Below are 17,458 nucleotides of genomic sequence, written 5' to 3' on the forward strand. Positions count from 1 at the left end.
GGCAGAGCCAGGGAAGAAGACAAGAAACGGGAGAACCTAAGTGCTTGCTGACTTCTGCCCCATTCCCCTCACCCCAAACCCTTTTTTAGAAAGGACTCGAGAGGCCTTTTAGGGTCAAGATTACCAAGGCCTGAGTGACCCTGCAGAATTCCTGCACATGGCTAGGCATCCTTTGTCTGATAATGACAGCCACTGCTCACACAGCGTCTACAGTGCACCGTCAGCAGCCTTAGGAGGCAGATTCTATTATCTGCTCTAGTTTACAGGCAAGAACACAGCACGGGCCAGGCACAGTAGCTCACGCCTATAATCCCAGCACTTTGGGAGGCCGAGGCAGGTGGATCATGAGGTCAGGAGTTCGAGAGCAGCCTGACCAACATGGTGAAACCCCCGTCTGTACTAAAAATACAAAAATTAGTCGGGCGTGGCGGCGGGCACCTGTAATCCCAGCAACTCGGGAGGCTGAGGCAGAATTGCTTGAACCCGGGAGACAGATGTTGCAGTGAGCTGAGATCGTGCCACTGCACTCCAGACTGGGTGACAGAGCAAGACTCCGTCTCAAAAGAAAAAAAAAAAAGAACACAGCACGGAGAAGATGCCCAGAGCCCTTCACTGTGGGCCCATGAGATGACACAGATCTTTCCACTAGGCCATCCTGTTTTGTTGCTGGAGAACTTTGTCCCTGGAAGGGCAGAAATGATTATTCTGGTTGCCCAAGGCCTGGTGGCCCAGGTAGGAGAAGGAACCTTCCAAGGCACATCCAGAGGAAAGCCCGGGGTTGGCGGGGGGTGGGGAGGTGTCCGCTCTGTGGCTATAATTAAGCCTCTCTGCCTGCTCTTCCTTTTCAACCACCAGCTTTTCAGGGGTTTAGATAACATGGCTTTGTGCTGATGGCCCTTTCAGCACTCAAACAGGAGGACCCATCTCAGCTCCTGGCATTCACGGGGCATAGTTCCCCTTTTCTCCTCACAATGCTGAATTTTTAAAAAGTGGAGTGTTAGCATAGGAAGAGTAGCTGATATCTGGGCGTTTTTCATAGAAATTCCATGATGGATGTTTTCCCCAGGATGCACTGCCAGTGTCCCAAAGAGAGACTTATCAGTTAAACCTGCCTGGCTCCAGAGGAGTCGCCGCAGACTTCCTGGTAAATACCCCCGAGCCAGGAATGCGTTTGTGAAATTTTTAGGAGATGATCCCAGAAAAGCTTCCTTCGGTCACCAAGCCGCGTGTTTGTGTCTGGAGATGAAGTGTGTGAAGGAAGATGTTTGCTCCTGAAATGAGACATTTTGTACATACAAGCCTTTTATGTGACATTGAAGTCAGATGCTGAGCTGTCCGATGCTGGGGTTTGAAGGTGAAAGTTGACTTTACCTCCTGTAGTGACAAAGTTCTGTGTCAGCCTGAATTTCAATTTCCTGGGACTTTTGTCTGTCTACAGCTCAACATGGTATCCTCAGCACCTTTGGGGTCTTTTGTTGTGTTGTTTGTTTTTTTGGTGGTTAGGGGAGGGATGGGTTAGTGACAGGGCGGTGGGGGGGGGTGCATTTAATCATTTATTCTTTTTAGTAGGTTTAATTGTATAAAGATTATAATGCATACAAACGTCTGTAATTAGGGGAGTTGGTTCTATTAGACAATGTTTTAGTGAGGAAAATTACAGTGTTTATAAGCCGTTTAAGGAGGGGGCAGCATATATTAACATGCAACTAGTTTTTGTGAATTCATACCGAGTACTTACCAGTGTTCCCCGGAGGTGTCTCCCCGAATTCCAAAGTGTGCCCCGTTCTATGTGCTTCCTGGGCTTCCTTCAGCAGAACCAGGCCATTTTTCAGAATATGGAACGCTATTCTAGGGGCTTAGGAGAGCAAACCTTGTTCTGTGACGGAATGAGTTTCGTTGATTCACGAGACAAATGTTTAGGAATGCCCTGTCTCTGCCAGGCACTGTTCCGGGTATTGGGGATACAGAGGTGAGTAAGACGGCAAGCTCTTTGCTCTCATGAAGTTTGTAATCTAATGGGGAGTCAGACTGGAAATGAGAAGACAAATACACGAACACACTCCTTACTGATACCGATCGGTGCAGAGGAAATGGAAGAAAGTGTTAGGCTGCAGAGGGACTGGGGAGTGGGGTGGGGTGTGTGTGAGGGTGTCGATTTAGGCATAGCCTTCAGAGAGGCATCTCTGGGGCAAGTGATCATCCAAGGACAGGGAGAACGCACAGCCCATGCAGTTGCCAAGGCAAGAAGGAGCTTTGTGACTTCAGGGAACAGAAGGAAGGAGGGGGAGCTGGCGACAGTGAGCAAATGAGGGGAGATGAGGTTAGCGAGGTGGCAGGACCAGATCATGGGGCTCTGCCAGGGGATGGTCGGAAGGAAGAATTCGCAGTGCCCTAAGAAGCTAAAAGTGAAGGACCTACTGCAAGCAAAACAGTGGGATGTTCTGTCCCTGCACAGCTGGCCCCCTTTGGGGCTCTCTGCCACTTGGTCTCAATGTTAAAGGTGCCAAGCACGTAGAATAGGGCCTTTCCCTGTTTAGGCACCCACAGAAGTGCTTGACTGTCGATACCTTGAGGGACACCAGTTGGAGAAAAGGTCAAGCATCCGTTCAACTCTGGGAATGTTCTTAACAGTGCCACTAAGCTGTCAAAGAGATGCACTCACATGCTGTAGGAACATCATTGACTCTGAATGGCTCCATCTGGGAATAAAAAGCAGGGGCTCTGAAGGATGAGTGGGAGTTTGATAGAATGGATGAAAATGAGAAGAACTTTGCAGCAGAAGGAACCCACACGGACAAAAGGCACAGTGTGTTAGACGAACACCAAATCATCTGGTGTGGCAAGAAATGAACCTTTTGGGAAGAAAAGCTGGGGTCAGGTTGGGGCACGCCTTGAAGCTTTGGACTTTATTGTGTAGCTACACTCACATATGCTTTGATGCAAGGTTGCTATGTAAAAGTTGCCTCCAAAAATCCATGCGCTGCAAAGAGATTGACCGTCACCCTTAACAACAAAGCTGAAGCATCTCAGCTGCCACAGTACAAGTTTAGAAAATTGTTTAAAGTATCATTTATTTATGTATTTAGAGATAGGGTCTCTCTGTATCACCCAGGCTGGAGTGCAGTGACGCGATCATAACTCACTGCAGCCTCAACTCCTGGGCTCAAGTGATCCTCCCACCTCAGCCTCCCAAGTAGCTAGGGCTATAGGTGTGTGCTGCCATGCTCAGCTGGTTTGTTTTGTTTCGTTATTTATTTATTTTTTGTAGGTATGATACCTCCCTATGTTGCCTGGGCTGGTCTTGAACTCCTGGTCTCAAGAAATCCTCCTGCCTCAGCCTCCCGAGTAACTGGGTTTACAGGCGCAAGCCACTGTGCCCAGCTTAAGTTTTACATTTTAAATCACGCTTCTCTGGAAGGGCGGCCCCTGGATAGGGGGGACCAGTTGTGGAGGACCTGTTCCATGTTTTATCTGAGTCCTGATCCTCCTGTCACATGAGTACGGCCCAGCTGACACAGCTGTGCAGTCAAGCCCTGGGTTGGATGATAAGTATGTGGAGTGGCATGGGTGGGGGGGGTGTCTCAGGTTTTATAGCCAAACTCCCAGAAGCCCCTTTTCCCTCTTTGACAACTGGAAGTCCAGATGATCCAACCCTCAGAGGATGGATCATCCCCTGAGGAGTGCACGACCCAGTGCCTGCGTTCTATGCCATTGTCACTCTGGAACCACCTGCTTGGCTTCTGGAATGACACGTTTGATCATCGCTGTCTTCCTCTTATCTTTCCCCAGCCCCCACTGACACTGACAATTTACTTCTGTCTTTGGGGCTATGAACCATGACAGGGGTGGAGAAGGAGTGGGGATAGAGATGAGACCAAGATACTTCTTGATATCTGTGGAAGCCTCAGATACCAAGAAGCCCTTCATCTGAAATATCACTGACGTGTCTCTCCTAGTTGGTTTGGAGCAAGTTGTGAGCACTGAGGACTATCAGTTTAGGTTTGAGCTGAAGGAGTGGAGATACATTTACAAGTTACTGAACGGGAGGCAGGCAGGCATCTGTGTGCCGCTTCCACACTGGGCAGCTGCAGGGCTCTCTGGTGGGCATCCTCCTTCTAGCCTTGCTGAAAGATGATTTGCTGGCATGAAATAAAGACGTCCCTAATTGTTTGGGGTGTGGGAAAGCAATCCCATGAGCATTAATTTGCCCAAGCCCAGAGTGTGTGAGAAAGTGCCTGCCTGACATGTTTTTCTTTTCCATTAACACTTCTGTGATAAACAGCTTAGATGCTCAGAGAAAAATTAATGAAACTATTGTAACAATCATGCACATGTAGGTAATTTATTAAGGACAATTAAAAAGCTTTAAAAATCATCCGTGAGGCAAAATGAACAGGAAGATGGTGTGTGGCGGGTTTTGGCAGGGAGCCTGCCCGTGGGTGTACGGAACAGGTTTCTCTTCCCATCGCCCTCACCCCCATCAGAGCAACACAGCAGTGGAAAGCGTGGATTCCTGCTGTCCAGGCTGTTAGTAACAAACATTCTATGCTGGTTGCCTGTTGGGTGAAGCCAGGGAGATGTGTGACTGTGTGGTCTGGCTGTTCTGCTCTACCTTCCTTGGGACCCAGGTATGCTGGTTCCTGGGCCTCCCTTCCAGGAGCAGGAGCATGTTGGGTGACAACTTGGTTATTGGACTTTTGTTGTTTGTGTTGGCTCTAGGAGCCTCGAAACCAGGTGAGGGGCAGCAAGGGAAGCCTAGAGAGGTTAAGGTGGCACTGTCATGACGACACCAGCCACTTACTAGCTTGGACCTTGGCCTCTCTGTGTAACGAGCCTGAGCCTCAGCTTCCTCATCTGCAAAATGGGGAGAATCGTTAGGAAGGAGTGGAGGATTGGAGCGAGGATCACACAAGATCATGCATGCTGAGGGCCTAGCGTGATGCCTGGCAGGTATGTAGTAAATGTTCAAATGTTTAATATTCTTTGTTATCATGAGCGGCATCATGATTGTGTTGTTGGCTGAAAGCCAAGCTAGGGTTGACACCCACATATCAAACTCCAAGGCCAGTGCACTTTTCATGATGTGCCAGTACCCACCCACTCACCCTTGGATCCTCCCTCCACCGCCACTGTTTTACAGGAATGCCAATACTGTGTCCTGTGTGAATGCTAGGATGTACTCACTGAGCCTCCTTGAGGCTTGGGTGAGGCCCCTCTTTGGAAGGATGGAGCTGCCTAGCTTCCTCCTGGTCTCATCTCTATCCCCACTCCTTCTCCAACCCTGTCATGGTTCATAGCCCCAAAGTGACAGATCTTCCACACTCTGGAATTTTTTTCACACGTGTGGAGGACTGGGATTGCTAGAATTTGTTTCTTTTTATTGGTTGGTGACCCAAGAAATCTTTGACCTTGTGGACCAGTGGTTTCTCAAATGCAGATATATTTAATAAAGTCAGGGTCTGTTAGCGGATGGTATTGGTCCCTCTCTGGGTATTTATCTTTATTTTATTGTTTTTCCCCAAGGCTTGATCGTAGACACATAGGTTATGTGTCCATTATAGACATATGCATCTATTTTCAAGAAGTAAATTTTAGTTCACTTACTGACTAGAAAGGAAAAGAAAGTGTTTTAGAGTAGACACGTCAGACACGACAGATTTTTTTCCCTTTCCGTGCTATAAATGAGCAGTGAAAAATGACTTTTGCTATTAAAAGCTGTAGCACCAGCCAGGCGCAGTGGTTCGTGCCTGTAATCCCAGCACTTTGTGAGGCCCAGGCAGGCAGATCATGAGGTCAGGAGATCAAGACCATTCTGGCCAACACGGTGAAACCCCGTCTCTACTAAAAGTACAAAAATTAGCTGGGTGTGGTGGCACGTGCCTGTAATCCCAGCTACTCGGGAGGCTGAGGCAGGAGAATCGCCTGAACCAGGAAGTCGGAGGTTGCAGTGAGCCTAGATAACACCACTGCACTCTAGCCTGGCAACAGAGTGAGACTCCATCTCAAAAAACAAACAAACAAACAAACAAACAAAAAACTGTAGCACCTGTAAAAAATAGTAAATTATAGGACATTATCAAAGTTTATAGGCACTAGAATTTGACCTTCAGTAAATTCAACATTGGAGGGTAACAGGGTTTTCTTTCCTTTCTTCAAAATGAAAAATGAGAGGGAGGAAAAAGATTTATTTCCTTCTGGGGCTGGAGTAACAACTGGAAATGGTATTCCCCAGCTTAAAGAAAGAAAGAAAGAAAGAAAGAAAGAAAGAAAGAAAGAAAGAAAGAAAGAAAGAAAGAAAGAAAACCTTTGTTAAATTACATAAAGTAATATAAGAAGTCACTTTCCTTAGAAAAAAATTTAAACCTCATAGAAAAGGCAAAAGTTGTGCGGTGGCTCATGCCTGCCCAGCACTTTGGGAGGCCACAGCGGGCTGATCACTTGAGGCCAGGAGTTTGAGACCAGCCTGGCTAACATGGTGAAACCCTGTAAAAATATAAAAATTATCCAGGCGTGGTGGTGCATGCCTGTTATCCCAATTACTCGGGAGGCTGAGGCAGGAAAATTCGCTTGAACTCGGGAGGTAGAGGCTACAGTGAGCCAAGATCACACCACTGCACTCCAGCCTGGGTGACAGAGCAAGACTGCATCTCAAAAAAAAAAAAAAAAAAAAAAAAAAAGGTGAGTAAAGGCAAAAGTCCCCTTGTACAATTCCGTCCCCCCTCCCCCCACCTGCTGGCCACCACCCTTGATCTTATTTTCATATGTATAACAGAGCTTTTTCTGTGCATTTATACACTCTTCTGTATACTCAGAGAAAATAATATAGTCTTGTTTTCTCAGGCTGTCCACCCTCCTCCCAAAACTTTTTGCCTTTTCCTCCATCCTTTCCTGAGACTTAGCTGGAGGAAGAGGGGAAGTTTGATGGACAAGTTTTTTTTAACATGGGGTTGGATGGTCCAGTGGGTGGTAGTGGTGTTTCCACCTTCTTCTCTAGGTTCTCCTTGGGCTTTGTGAAGCTTCCTCGATTGCTCATAATCCAGGTTAAGATTGAGTAGATGGATAGTTGGAGGGTACAGGTAAGTATCCAGAGGAGCAAAGTGTTGGGGGTTGAGTACCAGATACTGTGGCTGACTTGAGCTTCCCGTGCCTTTAGCTGGACCCTGACACCTCTCTGAACTAGGAATGTAGAATGAACTCTCTGCGAGACATCTGTGCCCATTGCCGGATTTTGAGCATGTGAATTGTGTGACGATGTGGGTGCGTGCATGTGTGTGGGTGCACATTTAAGGAGGATTTCTCGGAGAAGCCACCCCCTCCTTTGTCCTGAAATGCACAATAGAGATCCTTCGCTAAATAAGTCAGCAGATGTTAAGTGATGGTGTTGGAGGAAGGCACCTTCAAAGAACTGGTTGTTGTTTCAGAAGCAACATGCTGATCAGCCCATCGTGGGCTCCCAGCTGTCCTGTGACATTTCTGCAGCTTCAGGTGCCAGCCTGGGCATGGCATCTCTGAACAGTGAGACTCTCCATCCTTTTTCTGAGAGCAGAGGCCTCGTAGCTGTTGCTGGATCTTCACAGAAAATGGGTCCCTAATCTCATTCTCACCTGCTTCTACTTCTGCTCTGAGGCCAGCTGAGAAAATTGCTCCAGTGCTTTGCTGCTGTCTGAGATTTAAGGTGGGAAGTTGGAGCTGCAGATTTTGAGAAAGCCACACTGCGATTCAGGAATAGTAGCGAGACCGGCACAGCTGCCCTGACCAGCCTTCCTCCTCACATCCTTGTGAAGCTGTAGTCTTTAAAACTCTTCACAACTGCTGCCCAGTAGAGGCAGTTTGGTCTTTTCAGAAAGAGGGAAGGGACAGGGTACAATCTGTCACCCTCATCAGCTGGCTAGCCGGTTCCAAAATGAAGCCTTGGGGAAGAGGAGTATCAGGGCGTGAGGAAGTTGTGCAGACAGGAAGCCGTGACCCCTCCAAGCTTTGCTGACCGTTCTCAGGGGGGATGTCCTCTTCTCTTTCTTTAGTGAGGAGTAGCTCTCCCATGTCCTCAAATCCAGCTTTCCCAGTGTGGGCACCTGTGACCACACCCTCATCCCTCAGGCTCCAGTGAGAAGACATGGTAAGGGTTAACCAGTTTGGCCGGCTTCCCTAGACGGGAAATGGAGGTTCACCCAGCTGGTGTCTGGGAGGCAGGTTCTAGTCTTCTTTCCGGTGGCTCTCTGGGCAATGCATCTTGCAGCCCTCTTCTCTTCTCCACCAGGAGAGCAGGGAGCCTCCTCCAGAGGGGGAGCAGGTGACCCGCAGTCAGCCAGAAGTGGCCACAGGAACCCCTGTCCATCCTCACAGAGGGGAAGCAACTTCCCCAGGCCACCTTGCCTGCAAGCATGCCAGTGGCAGAGCCAGGACTAGAAGTCAGGCCTTTTGCCTGCTGGTTGGTGTGCCCCATGCCAGGCCAGAGGCCTGTTAGTGGGTCCTGGACTCGTGAGGGGCAGCCGAACTGTTGCAGCAGTCTTAACAATCCATCTGCTTGCTTCCACTCTGTACATTAGGATCATTAAATGTGGACTGTATTTTCTGGACTTACAAACAAAAGTGGGAGGGAAGACCTTGTACTTGAAAAGATTGCTCTCTAAGATGGTTCGGATTTGAAGAGAGAAGGCCTGAATTCTCTCATTTTTGCAGTTATAATAATAAATACTTTTCTTTAATACCTAGAACATGCCAGGAGCTGAGCAAAGTGTATTTTGTACTTCATCTTACGTGTTCCTCTTACCAGCCCATGAGGGTGGTTCTGTCATCACCCTCGTCTTACAGGTGAGGACTTGGAGAGGTTCAGGTTCTGCCTTCAGTGCCACAGCTGAGAGGTGGGGAACTGGGATTTGGATGCAGGCTCTAACCTCAGACTGGGGAAGGATTCTGCATGGTAGATAGGGAACAGAACTGCCAGGCCAGTGCTGGCTGAGGGCTTGTTTCTGGTTGAGGGACTTTTTTTTTTTTTTTTTTTTTAAGATGGAGTCTTGCTTTGTCACCCAGATGAGTACAGTGGTGCAGTCTTGGCTCACTGCAACCTCCACCTCCTGGGTTCAAGTGATTCTGCCGCAGCCTCCCGAGTAACTGGGATTATGGGTGTGCACCACCACACCTGGCTAATTTTTGTATTTTTAGTGGAGACGGGGTTTCATTAGGTTGGTCAGGCTGATCTCAAACTCCTGACCTCAAGCAATCTGCCCACCTCAGCCTCCCAAAGTGCTAGGACTACAGGCATGAGCCACCAAGCCTGGCCTGAGGGGCTTCTTGCTTTTGCTTGTGGTCACTTCCCTGCAATGCTGCTGTCTTGATTTTCAGGGCATCTTGTGACAGTGACTGAGGCTTGCTCTCCCTTCTCTTGCTGCCCAGGTGATGAGCACTACAGGCCTTATAACCTGATGATTTGGGGTTGAGCCATATCCCTAGAACTTCCTATGTGGTGAGAAGTCAACAGTATCACGGAACACTTGGTTTTGTGTCTCATTTCAGCCTAGTAGAGGGACAAAGCAAGAAGTTTAATGCCAACATCAGAAGAGCCACTTGAGCAGACACAAGCATTTGCCTGTGTACAGCATATACCTTGTGCCGGGCACGCTTTTCTATTACTTCATTTAACCTATCTATGCCTAGTGTTCCATTATCGGAACGCCAAGCTTGTGGGGAGTTATTTATATCCTACTGCTCAAGGTCATCACCAAGGTCTGATTTTTCACAAAAATTTGCAACCTCCGGCATAAATGGGTTAATTCTCAACACCATCCTCAGGATAGGTACTGTCATCATTCCCACTCTACAGGTGAGGGATTGGGCTATAGTAACTTGTTTGAGATCAAAAAGCCAGGAATTGGCAGAGCCAGGATCCAAACTGCCTGACCCCAGAGCTCATACCTTTATCTTTCTCATCAAAAACCACTGGTTGGATGAGTACCTCTCTGGGAAGAAAGGGCTGCATGACCCTGTGTGCTATTACCCACCTGTTGGCCGCCAAGGCTGATACCTGGCAGGAAGCCCTCATTCACAGGGCAGAAGGCTCAGTGAAATAAACAGGCACCCAAGGGCTAAGTGGAGAGGACTGGCTCGCTCCAGGAGCTCTGTGCAGATCTTGAGCACATTGGCTCAGTATGTTATTGAAATGATGGAGCTCGGGGCGGAGTGATGATTAATAGTGCCTTTGGCAGCCCCCAAAACCACCAGGAACTGTGGATAGTGAGAGGCCCACCATCCGGTGTCACCACAATGGTGCTGGTGTCCAATGAACGTGTGCTTCCATATACTGTTCTGAAGGGCAGTAGTGAGTGGTTCCAGCCCGCCTCATCTTCCCTGTAGCTGCTGAAGGTATGTCTGTCCTCCTTCCTTCCTTCTTTCCTCTCTCTCTCTTTTTCTTTTTCTCTTTCTTTTTTTTTTTTTTTTTGAGATGGATTCTCGCTCTGTCTCCAAGCTGGAGTGCAGTGGCACGATCTTGGCTCACTGCAACCTCCAACTCCCTGGTCCAGGCGATTCTCCTGCCTCAGCCTCCTAAGTAGCTGGGATTACAGGCACCCGCCACCACGCCTGGCAAATTTTTTGTATTTTTAGTAGAGATGGGTTTCACTATGTTGGCCAGCATGGTCTCGATCTCCTGACCTGGTGATCTACCCACCTCGGCCTCCCAAAGTGCTGGGATTGCAGGCGTGTGCCATGGCATGTGTTTTCAAGATCTCCTTTGACCCAGGTCTGTGGCTTTGGTCCTTTGCCATGGACTAGAGTTCTTCATAGGCAAGTAGTCCATGTGGCGCTTGAGCTCTTCACTAGATTAAAGCCAGTAGAGGTAACAGCGCAGCCCCTCTGGCTAGGGAAGAGGGGTGCCGCTAGCATCATTCCATCTGGGGCTTCACCTCATCTTTGCATACCAGCCCTGCCTGCTGCTGCTCCTGTCGCAGGCGTGGAAGACCTGGCTGGAACCCTATTCCTGCCATGACCTTGAGGCTGTTCAGTAACCTCTGAGAGCCTGATTTTCCCACCCACCTTATGAAGTTCTTACAGAGCGCCTAGCTCTCATTCAGGTGCGTGGGAGATGCTCAGTGACTTCGAGTTCCCTCCTCATGCCTCTTCATGTGGCTCTGGGGCTTGTATTAGAGCTTCCCTTTCTTTTAGAGTACAGCCAGCTGTCTATTGCAGCTTGTATATGAAACGGTCTCTCTCTGTGGTAACTTTGCACAAAAGATGGTTTTGTGGTCAGCCTCTGAATAATGCAGTGAAGCCCCTGCCCCCCAACTCACACACAGGGAGCTGTGGTCACAGTCGGACCACTTGGCAGCCATCATAAGACTTGAAATGGGGGGTTTGAAGCCATTGCTTGTGAATTAGCATGTTTTTCTCTCTTTTGCCTTTGTGAAAACCAACTTCCTGTGCAGCCGCTTGTGTTTTAAAACCCTGAAAAAGGGGGGCCAGCTCTCAGCCCTTGTCCACCGCTGGTTCCTAGGACCGTTATGAATTAAAGATTACAGCCGTTAAAAAGAGATCGTCTTTAAACAAGCGCAGTTCTCTCTCCTCATGCCCCCTGAGTGGAGAAGTTTTTGTGTATAGCGAGTCCAAAACAAACAGAGATGTTCTTGAGAGATGTGGGGAGCAGGGGCCGAGACAGCAGGAGAGCGAGGGCAGCAGAGGGACAGTGGGGGAGAGCCGGGGAACTGTAGTTTTGAATTGTTGGCCTCCTGTCTGCATGCTCAGAGAAGCAGGGCCGCGTGGAGTGCCCAGCGGAACCTGCTCATGCTGATTTGCTGCGTCACCTTGGGAAAACGTTGGCTTTGCTCCTCCGCAGCACGCACACAGGCACAGGCACACACACGTTCCCATCCCAGCTGGTGCCCGCGTGTGGGTGTTAGGCACAGACTCTTTGGACAAAGCTCTGGAGATGAATTGGGAAAGAAGTGTGGTAGAAACATCACCAGGAAGCTTTGTGTTACGGGCCTTGTCACTGCATGTGAAGATAGACCAGACGCCCCGCAGAGACAGCCCTCTTGAAACTCTCACCTAAAGGAGATGCTACCAAGGTGAGGGACCTCCGGGCAGCAGAACAAGAACATCGAACAACCACTACGGTTTAACAGGAGCAAGAAACGATCTTTCCGAACTTTCCTCTGTGGATGCAAAGATGTTGAAGAGCAGTTCCTGCCTTTGGCAGGGAACTCGGGGTGCACACGGGGAGACAGACAAGAAGGGATGAGTCCAGGGCACTTGTATGTCTGTACCTTCTCTTAGCCTCATAACATCTCTATGAGGGAGCGAAGAACATCACAGCTTTGGCCGGGCGCAGTGGCTCACGCCTATAATCCCAGCACTTTGGGAGGCCAAGGCGGGTGGATCACGAGATCAGGAGTTCAAGACCAGCCTGGCCAAGATGGTGAAACCCTGTCTCTACTATTAGTGGGGCGTGGTGGCAGGCACCTGTAATCCCAGCTACTCAGGAGGCGGAGGCAGAGAATTGCTTGAACCTGGGAGGCAGAAGTTGCAGTGAGCTGAGATCGCACCACTGCACTCCAGCCTGGGCGACAGAGCGATCGAGACTCCATCTCCAAAAAAAAAAAAGGAACACCACAACTGACTTGCCCTGTGTTGGAGATGGCTGTGCAGATTTAGTCTTGCTCAAGGGCTTTACCAAGGGTTGTGCTCAGGGCACAACTGGGGCTAAATTCCAAGGCCTGCTGCCTTTGGGTCCGTAAATCTTCATTGCAGATGTTGATGTAGTTTCCAGGACTGCATCATCTTGGAGTTTATTTTAGGCAGATGATTGCCTTCTAGGTCATTCTCAACCATTTAAGTATCCTTGGCAGGAGAACTTATCTGAATGGGCCAAGGCTCTTTGAGTTGGGAGCAAGGCGTATTTTCCCACCCAATCTCCATGCACCCGGGTCCTGTGGTTTCATTGGCACTTCATTTGGAAAGTTGTTGGCTTTTGGGAGGAGAAAGGAAGGAGAAGTTTGGCAGCATCCTGTTCCAAGGCCTAGAGTTTTAATGTGTGGTCAGACTGTTTATTGATTAATTGGTTTTCAAGAGGGAAACATGTTCTTTCAGGACATAGGGTCTCTAGGACAAAAATAACTTTAAAAGAAGAGGTGGAGATGTTAGAGAACACTCTAATAACTCCTATCACTTCACAGCTGGGAAACCTGAACCCCCAAAGGGGTAAGAGATTTTAGAAAGTTTCACCAAATTCCCCATTTCTCTGGACAGAATTGGACTCTAGATGGAGGACTAGACATTTTCCCCTAGAGCCGTGTTTCCCCAGGGCATTGAGAGGTGTTAGGAGATGCAAGGGCTCCATGGCCGTACATGTGGCAACTCCTAAATTAAACATTCCCTAAATGCAGGACTTCTCAGAGCATTTACTCTGCTAACAAGTGGTCTGCTTTTCTAAGAGCTGGTTAAGGTAGGTAATGATTCCTTATTTGGCCAATGAACTTATTTTAAGGAGACTAAATTATCTTTAGTCTTTAAATTATTTTAAAATTATTTTTCTCCTAGAAGACCCTATGTCTTGAAAAATATGTTTCCCTCTTAGAAACCAATTAATAAATATTGGGAAGTCAGGCCAGGCACGATAATTCATGACTATAATCCCAGCAGCTGGGGAGGCTGAGGCAGGAGGATCACTTGAGTCCAGGAGTTTGAGACCAGCCTGGGCAACATAGCAAAACTCTATCTCTACAAATAAAATAAAATCAAATAAAATAAAATTAACTAGGCATGGTACTGTATGCCGGTAGTCTTAGCTACTCAGGTGGCTGAAGTGGGAGGATCACTTGAGTCCAGGAGTTCAAGAATGCAGTGAGTTATGATTGGGCTCCTGCACTCCAGCCTAGGAGACAACGTGAGACCTCGTCTTTAAAAGAAGAAATAAAATAAAATAAAATAAAACTAAGAAGTCAGATGAATTCTGACTCAATAAATTGAAGTCAGATAGATATATTTTTATCAACTGGGCATATACATATATAAAAATAGATATCAGATACCATATTGCATATATATAAGTACATATTTTAATAAACTATATTAGCCTGACATATATATACCTTTTTTTTTTTTTTTTTTGGAGATGGAGTCTCGCTCTGTCGCCCAGGCTGGAGTGCAGTGGCGCGATCTTGGCTCATTGCAAGCTCCGCCTCCCGGGATCACGCCATTCTCTTGCCTCAGCCTCCCGAGTAGCTGGGACTACGGGCGCCCACCACCACGCCTGGCTAATTTTTTGTATTTTTAGTAGAGACGGGGTTTCACTGTGTTAGCCAGGATGGTCTCGATCTCTTGACCTCGTGATCCACCCGCCTTGGCCTCCCAAAGTGCTGGGATTATAGGCGTGAGCCACCGTGCCCGGCCACATATTTTTAATATATGTGTGTGTATACATATTTTAATCTCTCAATGGCCATCAGAGATTTAGGTCACAGTGTTACCATGCTTTAGTCAGAAGGAAAGAACTCTGGGTCACTGTGCAATTTCTGGTTGGCTTTTGGAAGCTGACAGCCTCATTGCTGATATCTTCTTCAGGAGCACAAAGTCTCTGACTGGGAACTGCTGGCTACATGGATGGAGAGCCCCTCTCCAGCTCTAATACTCTCTGTGTTCCATGCCTCTGGGTTATCAGCAAGAAGCCCAGCTGCTCGGCCCATAACTCAGATCAGTTAGCATATAAACTCCAGAAAATAATTGCCCTCTTAATTGCTACTGATACCATGTCTTGAACCAGGCTTTGTTCAAGGTGGGATACAGGTGGGACACAGGCTTGGTTCACAGGTGGGAGGGTGCCCTGTGCAGGCCGTGGGAGGATAATTTGAGAATTCCCTTGCCTGTCCCTGCTCCGCGGTTGCTGGGCACCTGGCGAGAGCGTTGGGTTGTTTGCTTTGGGTAACTATGGCAGATCCTTTTAATTGCCACCAAATAACTTCAGCTCAACCTCGTCAGTGGTTGTTTTGCTGCGTCGCTCGGAAGAATGCCTCCCTCTTTGTAAGAGCTGGATGGATGGGAGCTTGGCAGAGGCAGGCCAATGCTCTTTAATGTTTTCCTTCCCATTTAATAAGTGTTGAGTAAAACTTGAGTTTAGGGTGTTTATGTGGCACAAAAGGTAAACCATTTGTGGTGTTTTGGAACCTGGGCTAAGTGTTTCTCACACACATCCTCATGACATGGTAATGACTACCTTTGTGTTAAACTTGGGTCACTGTCAACTTTCTTCTGAAGTGCTCCCTGCTTTGTTTTGGGGGCAGGGGTGGGAAAGGAATGAGGTGAGAGAAGGTGAGGTGAACATGGGATGCCGCACGGGGGCATTGTCCTCAGTCGGACTTTCTAGAAAAAGGCATCACGCGGCCTGGAGACAGGAAGGGAGAGATTTTAATCATCTGCTGTGGCTTTTGCTCTTCTGACATCAGAATGGTAGGAGGCCCTGAACTTTTGACCTCTGGCTCCAGGTCCATAAATGTCCCGAGGTTCCCAGGAAAAGGAAGACTTGTTAGATGGGAACCCTGATGTTTGATTAGAGCAGCTTTTAGTCACTACTGTCATGTGTTTGTTTATTCAGGCACCAGTTGCATCTGAGTAGTGGTAGGTCCTGGAGACAGGAGGCACAGCCTTTACTCATGGCCTCATGGTAAGGTAGAGTCATGCAGAACATTTAACGAAAGTATGGCTTGGCCGGGTGTGGTGGTGACTCACGCCTCTAATCCTAGCACTTTAGGAGGCTGAGGCAGGAGGATTGTTTGAGCCCAGGAATTCAAGACCAGCCTGGGCAACATAGCAAGACTTCATCTCTACAAAAAATTAAAAAATTAGCCGGGCACGGTGGCTCACACCTGTAATCTCAGCACTTTGGAAGGCTGAGGCGGGCAGATCACCTGAGGTCAGGAGTTCGAGACCAGCCTGGCCGACATTGTGAAACCCCGTCTCTACTAAAAATGTAAAAATTAGCTGGGCGTGATGACAGGCACCTGTAATCTCAGCTACTCGGGAGGCTGAGACAGGAGAATTGCCTGAACCCGGGGGGTGGAGGTTGCAGTGAGCCAAGATCATGCCACTGCACTCCAGCCTGGGCAACAGAACGGAACTCTGTCTCAAATAAATAAATAAATAAATAAATAAATAAATAAATAAATAAATAATCAGTTGGGCGTGGTGACACATGCCTGTAGTCCCAGCTACTTGGGAAGCTGAGGCAGGAGGATCACTTGAGCTTGGGAGGATGAGGCTGCAGTGAGCTGTGGTTGCACCATTGCACTCCAGCCCGGGTGACAGAGCCAAACCCTGTCTTGGGAAGGAAAGAAGGCAGGAAGTTAGGGAGGGAAAGAGAAAAAGGAAAGGAAAGGAAAAAGAGAGAAAGAGAAGAAAAGAAAAAGATTTGATGGGCAAAATCCTGTCTTTGGAAGGAAAGAGGGGAGGAAGGTAGGGAGGGAAAGTGGAAAAGAAAAGGAAAAAGAAAGAGAAGAAAAGAAAAAGATTTGATGTACGCCACCATGAAAGCAGGTAGAAGGCAGAGGAATCATGAGGAGCTGGATGGGTTCACCTGGGGAGAGTACTAATGGGACATGAGGCACCCCGCCTGTGTGTTTGGAGAACTACAGCAGTTTGCAATGCCAGAAGGAACAAAGGGAGGCGAGGAACCATGGCAGTAGGGTGGAGGTGGGCAGGGGCAGGTCCCAGTGGTGCTAGGAAACTTGTACTTTATCCATAGGCAGGGGAGCTGTGGCTTCTATAGCCTTCAAGGGGAGGTCACCATTGAGCCGAGAAGGGAGAGGAGCTTTCTAGGCAGAAAGCGTGGTTGACTGAAATGGCAGAGTGTGTTCTGAGGAGGGTGGCAGGCTCTGGGTGGTGCATTTCTTCCGGCCAAAGGAGAGACGTGAGGCAGGAGCTGTGTGTCTTCCATACTGTGCTCACTCACCATGCTCAATGCTCAGAATCCCTCCTTGCAGAGGCTGCAGCCCTCTTTGTAGGTGCTTTGGTGGAAAGTTAAATTTGATTGTCCTATGGGCCTGTGGCAGGGGCTGCAGTCTCCCCTTGTCTCAGTGCCCCATTTCCTCTGAAGAGTGGGCATTGGCAACACCCTTCATGACACTTGAGCTTGTGCCCATGGGGTCTGCCGGCTTCTCCCTGCCCTTGACCCGGCCGCAGAGTGGACTGCACAGATCACATGGGTGCAGTGTTGTCACCCACTCTTCTCTGGGCTCCACACACAGACAGCATTTGGCCTGCTCCCCGAGGGCCACACGGTCATCCTAGGCAGCTGTTCAGTGGTAATTAGTCAACCCAAGTCTCACAGGTTCAATGACTCATTGTCTTAAATTTAATAAGTACAGAAAAACAGAGTGCTGATGTATTAAAAAATTAATCCTCCTAAGAGGTAGCCTCGGCAGAGGGGCTTGGAATGAAGGGAAGCAGAGGGAATGTGCAGGGAAGTAGGAAATTTCTC

At 48.4% G+C, this 17,458-nt stretch overlaps 1 protein-coding gene across 10 annotated transcripts in view, besides 2 other annotated features; it reads left to right on the forward strand.

Moving 5' to 3' along the window:
- Window positions 1-17,458, forward strand: part of MSI2 (musashi RNA binding protein 2) — a 445,731-nt gene that overhangs the window by 188,170 nt on the left and 240,103 nt on the right. The window lies entirely within an intron of this gene.
- Window positions 231-300: a silencer, noted in NCBI's record as "silent region_8749". NCBI's record gives its function as "represses an Ori minimal core promoter by ATAC-STARR-seq in GM12878 lymphoblastoid cells {active_cell/tissue: GM12878}" and the evidence as "EXISTENCE:reporter gene assay evidence [ECO:0000049][PMID:35858748]".
- Window positions 11,415-11,534: an enhancer, noted in NCBI's record as "active region_12433". NCBI's record gives its function as "activates an Ori minimal core promoter by ATAC-STARR-seq in GM12878 lymphoblastoid cells {active_cell/tissue: GM12878}" and the evidence as "EXISTENCE:reporter gene assay evidence [ECO:0000049][PMID:35858748]".

This window comes from Homo sapiens, chromosome 17 (genome assembly GCF_000001405.40).
Source record: "Homo sapiens chromosome 17, GRCh38.p14 Primary Assembly".
NCBI lineage: Eukaryota > Metazoa > Chordata > Mammalia > Primates > Hominidae > Homo > Homo sapiens.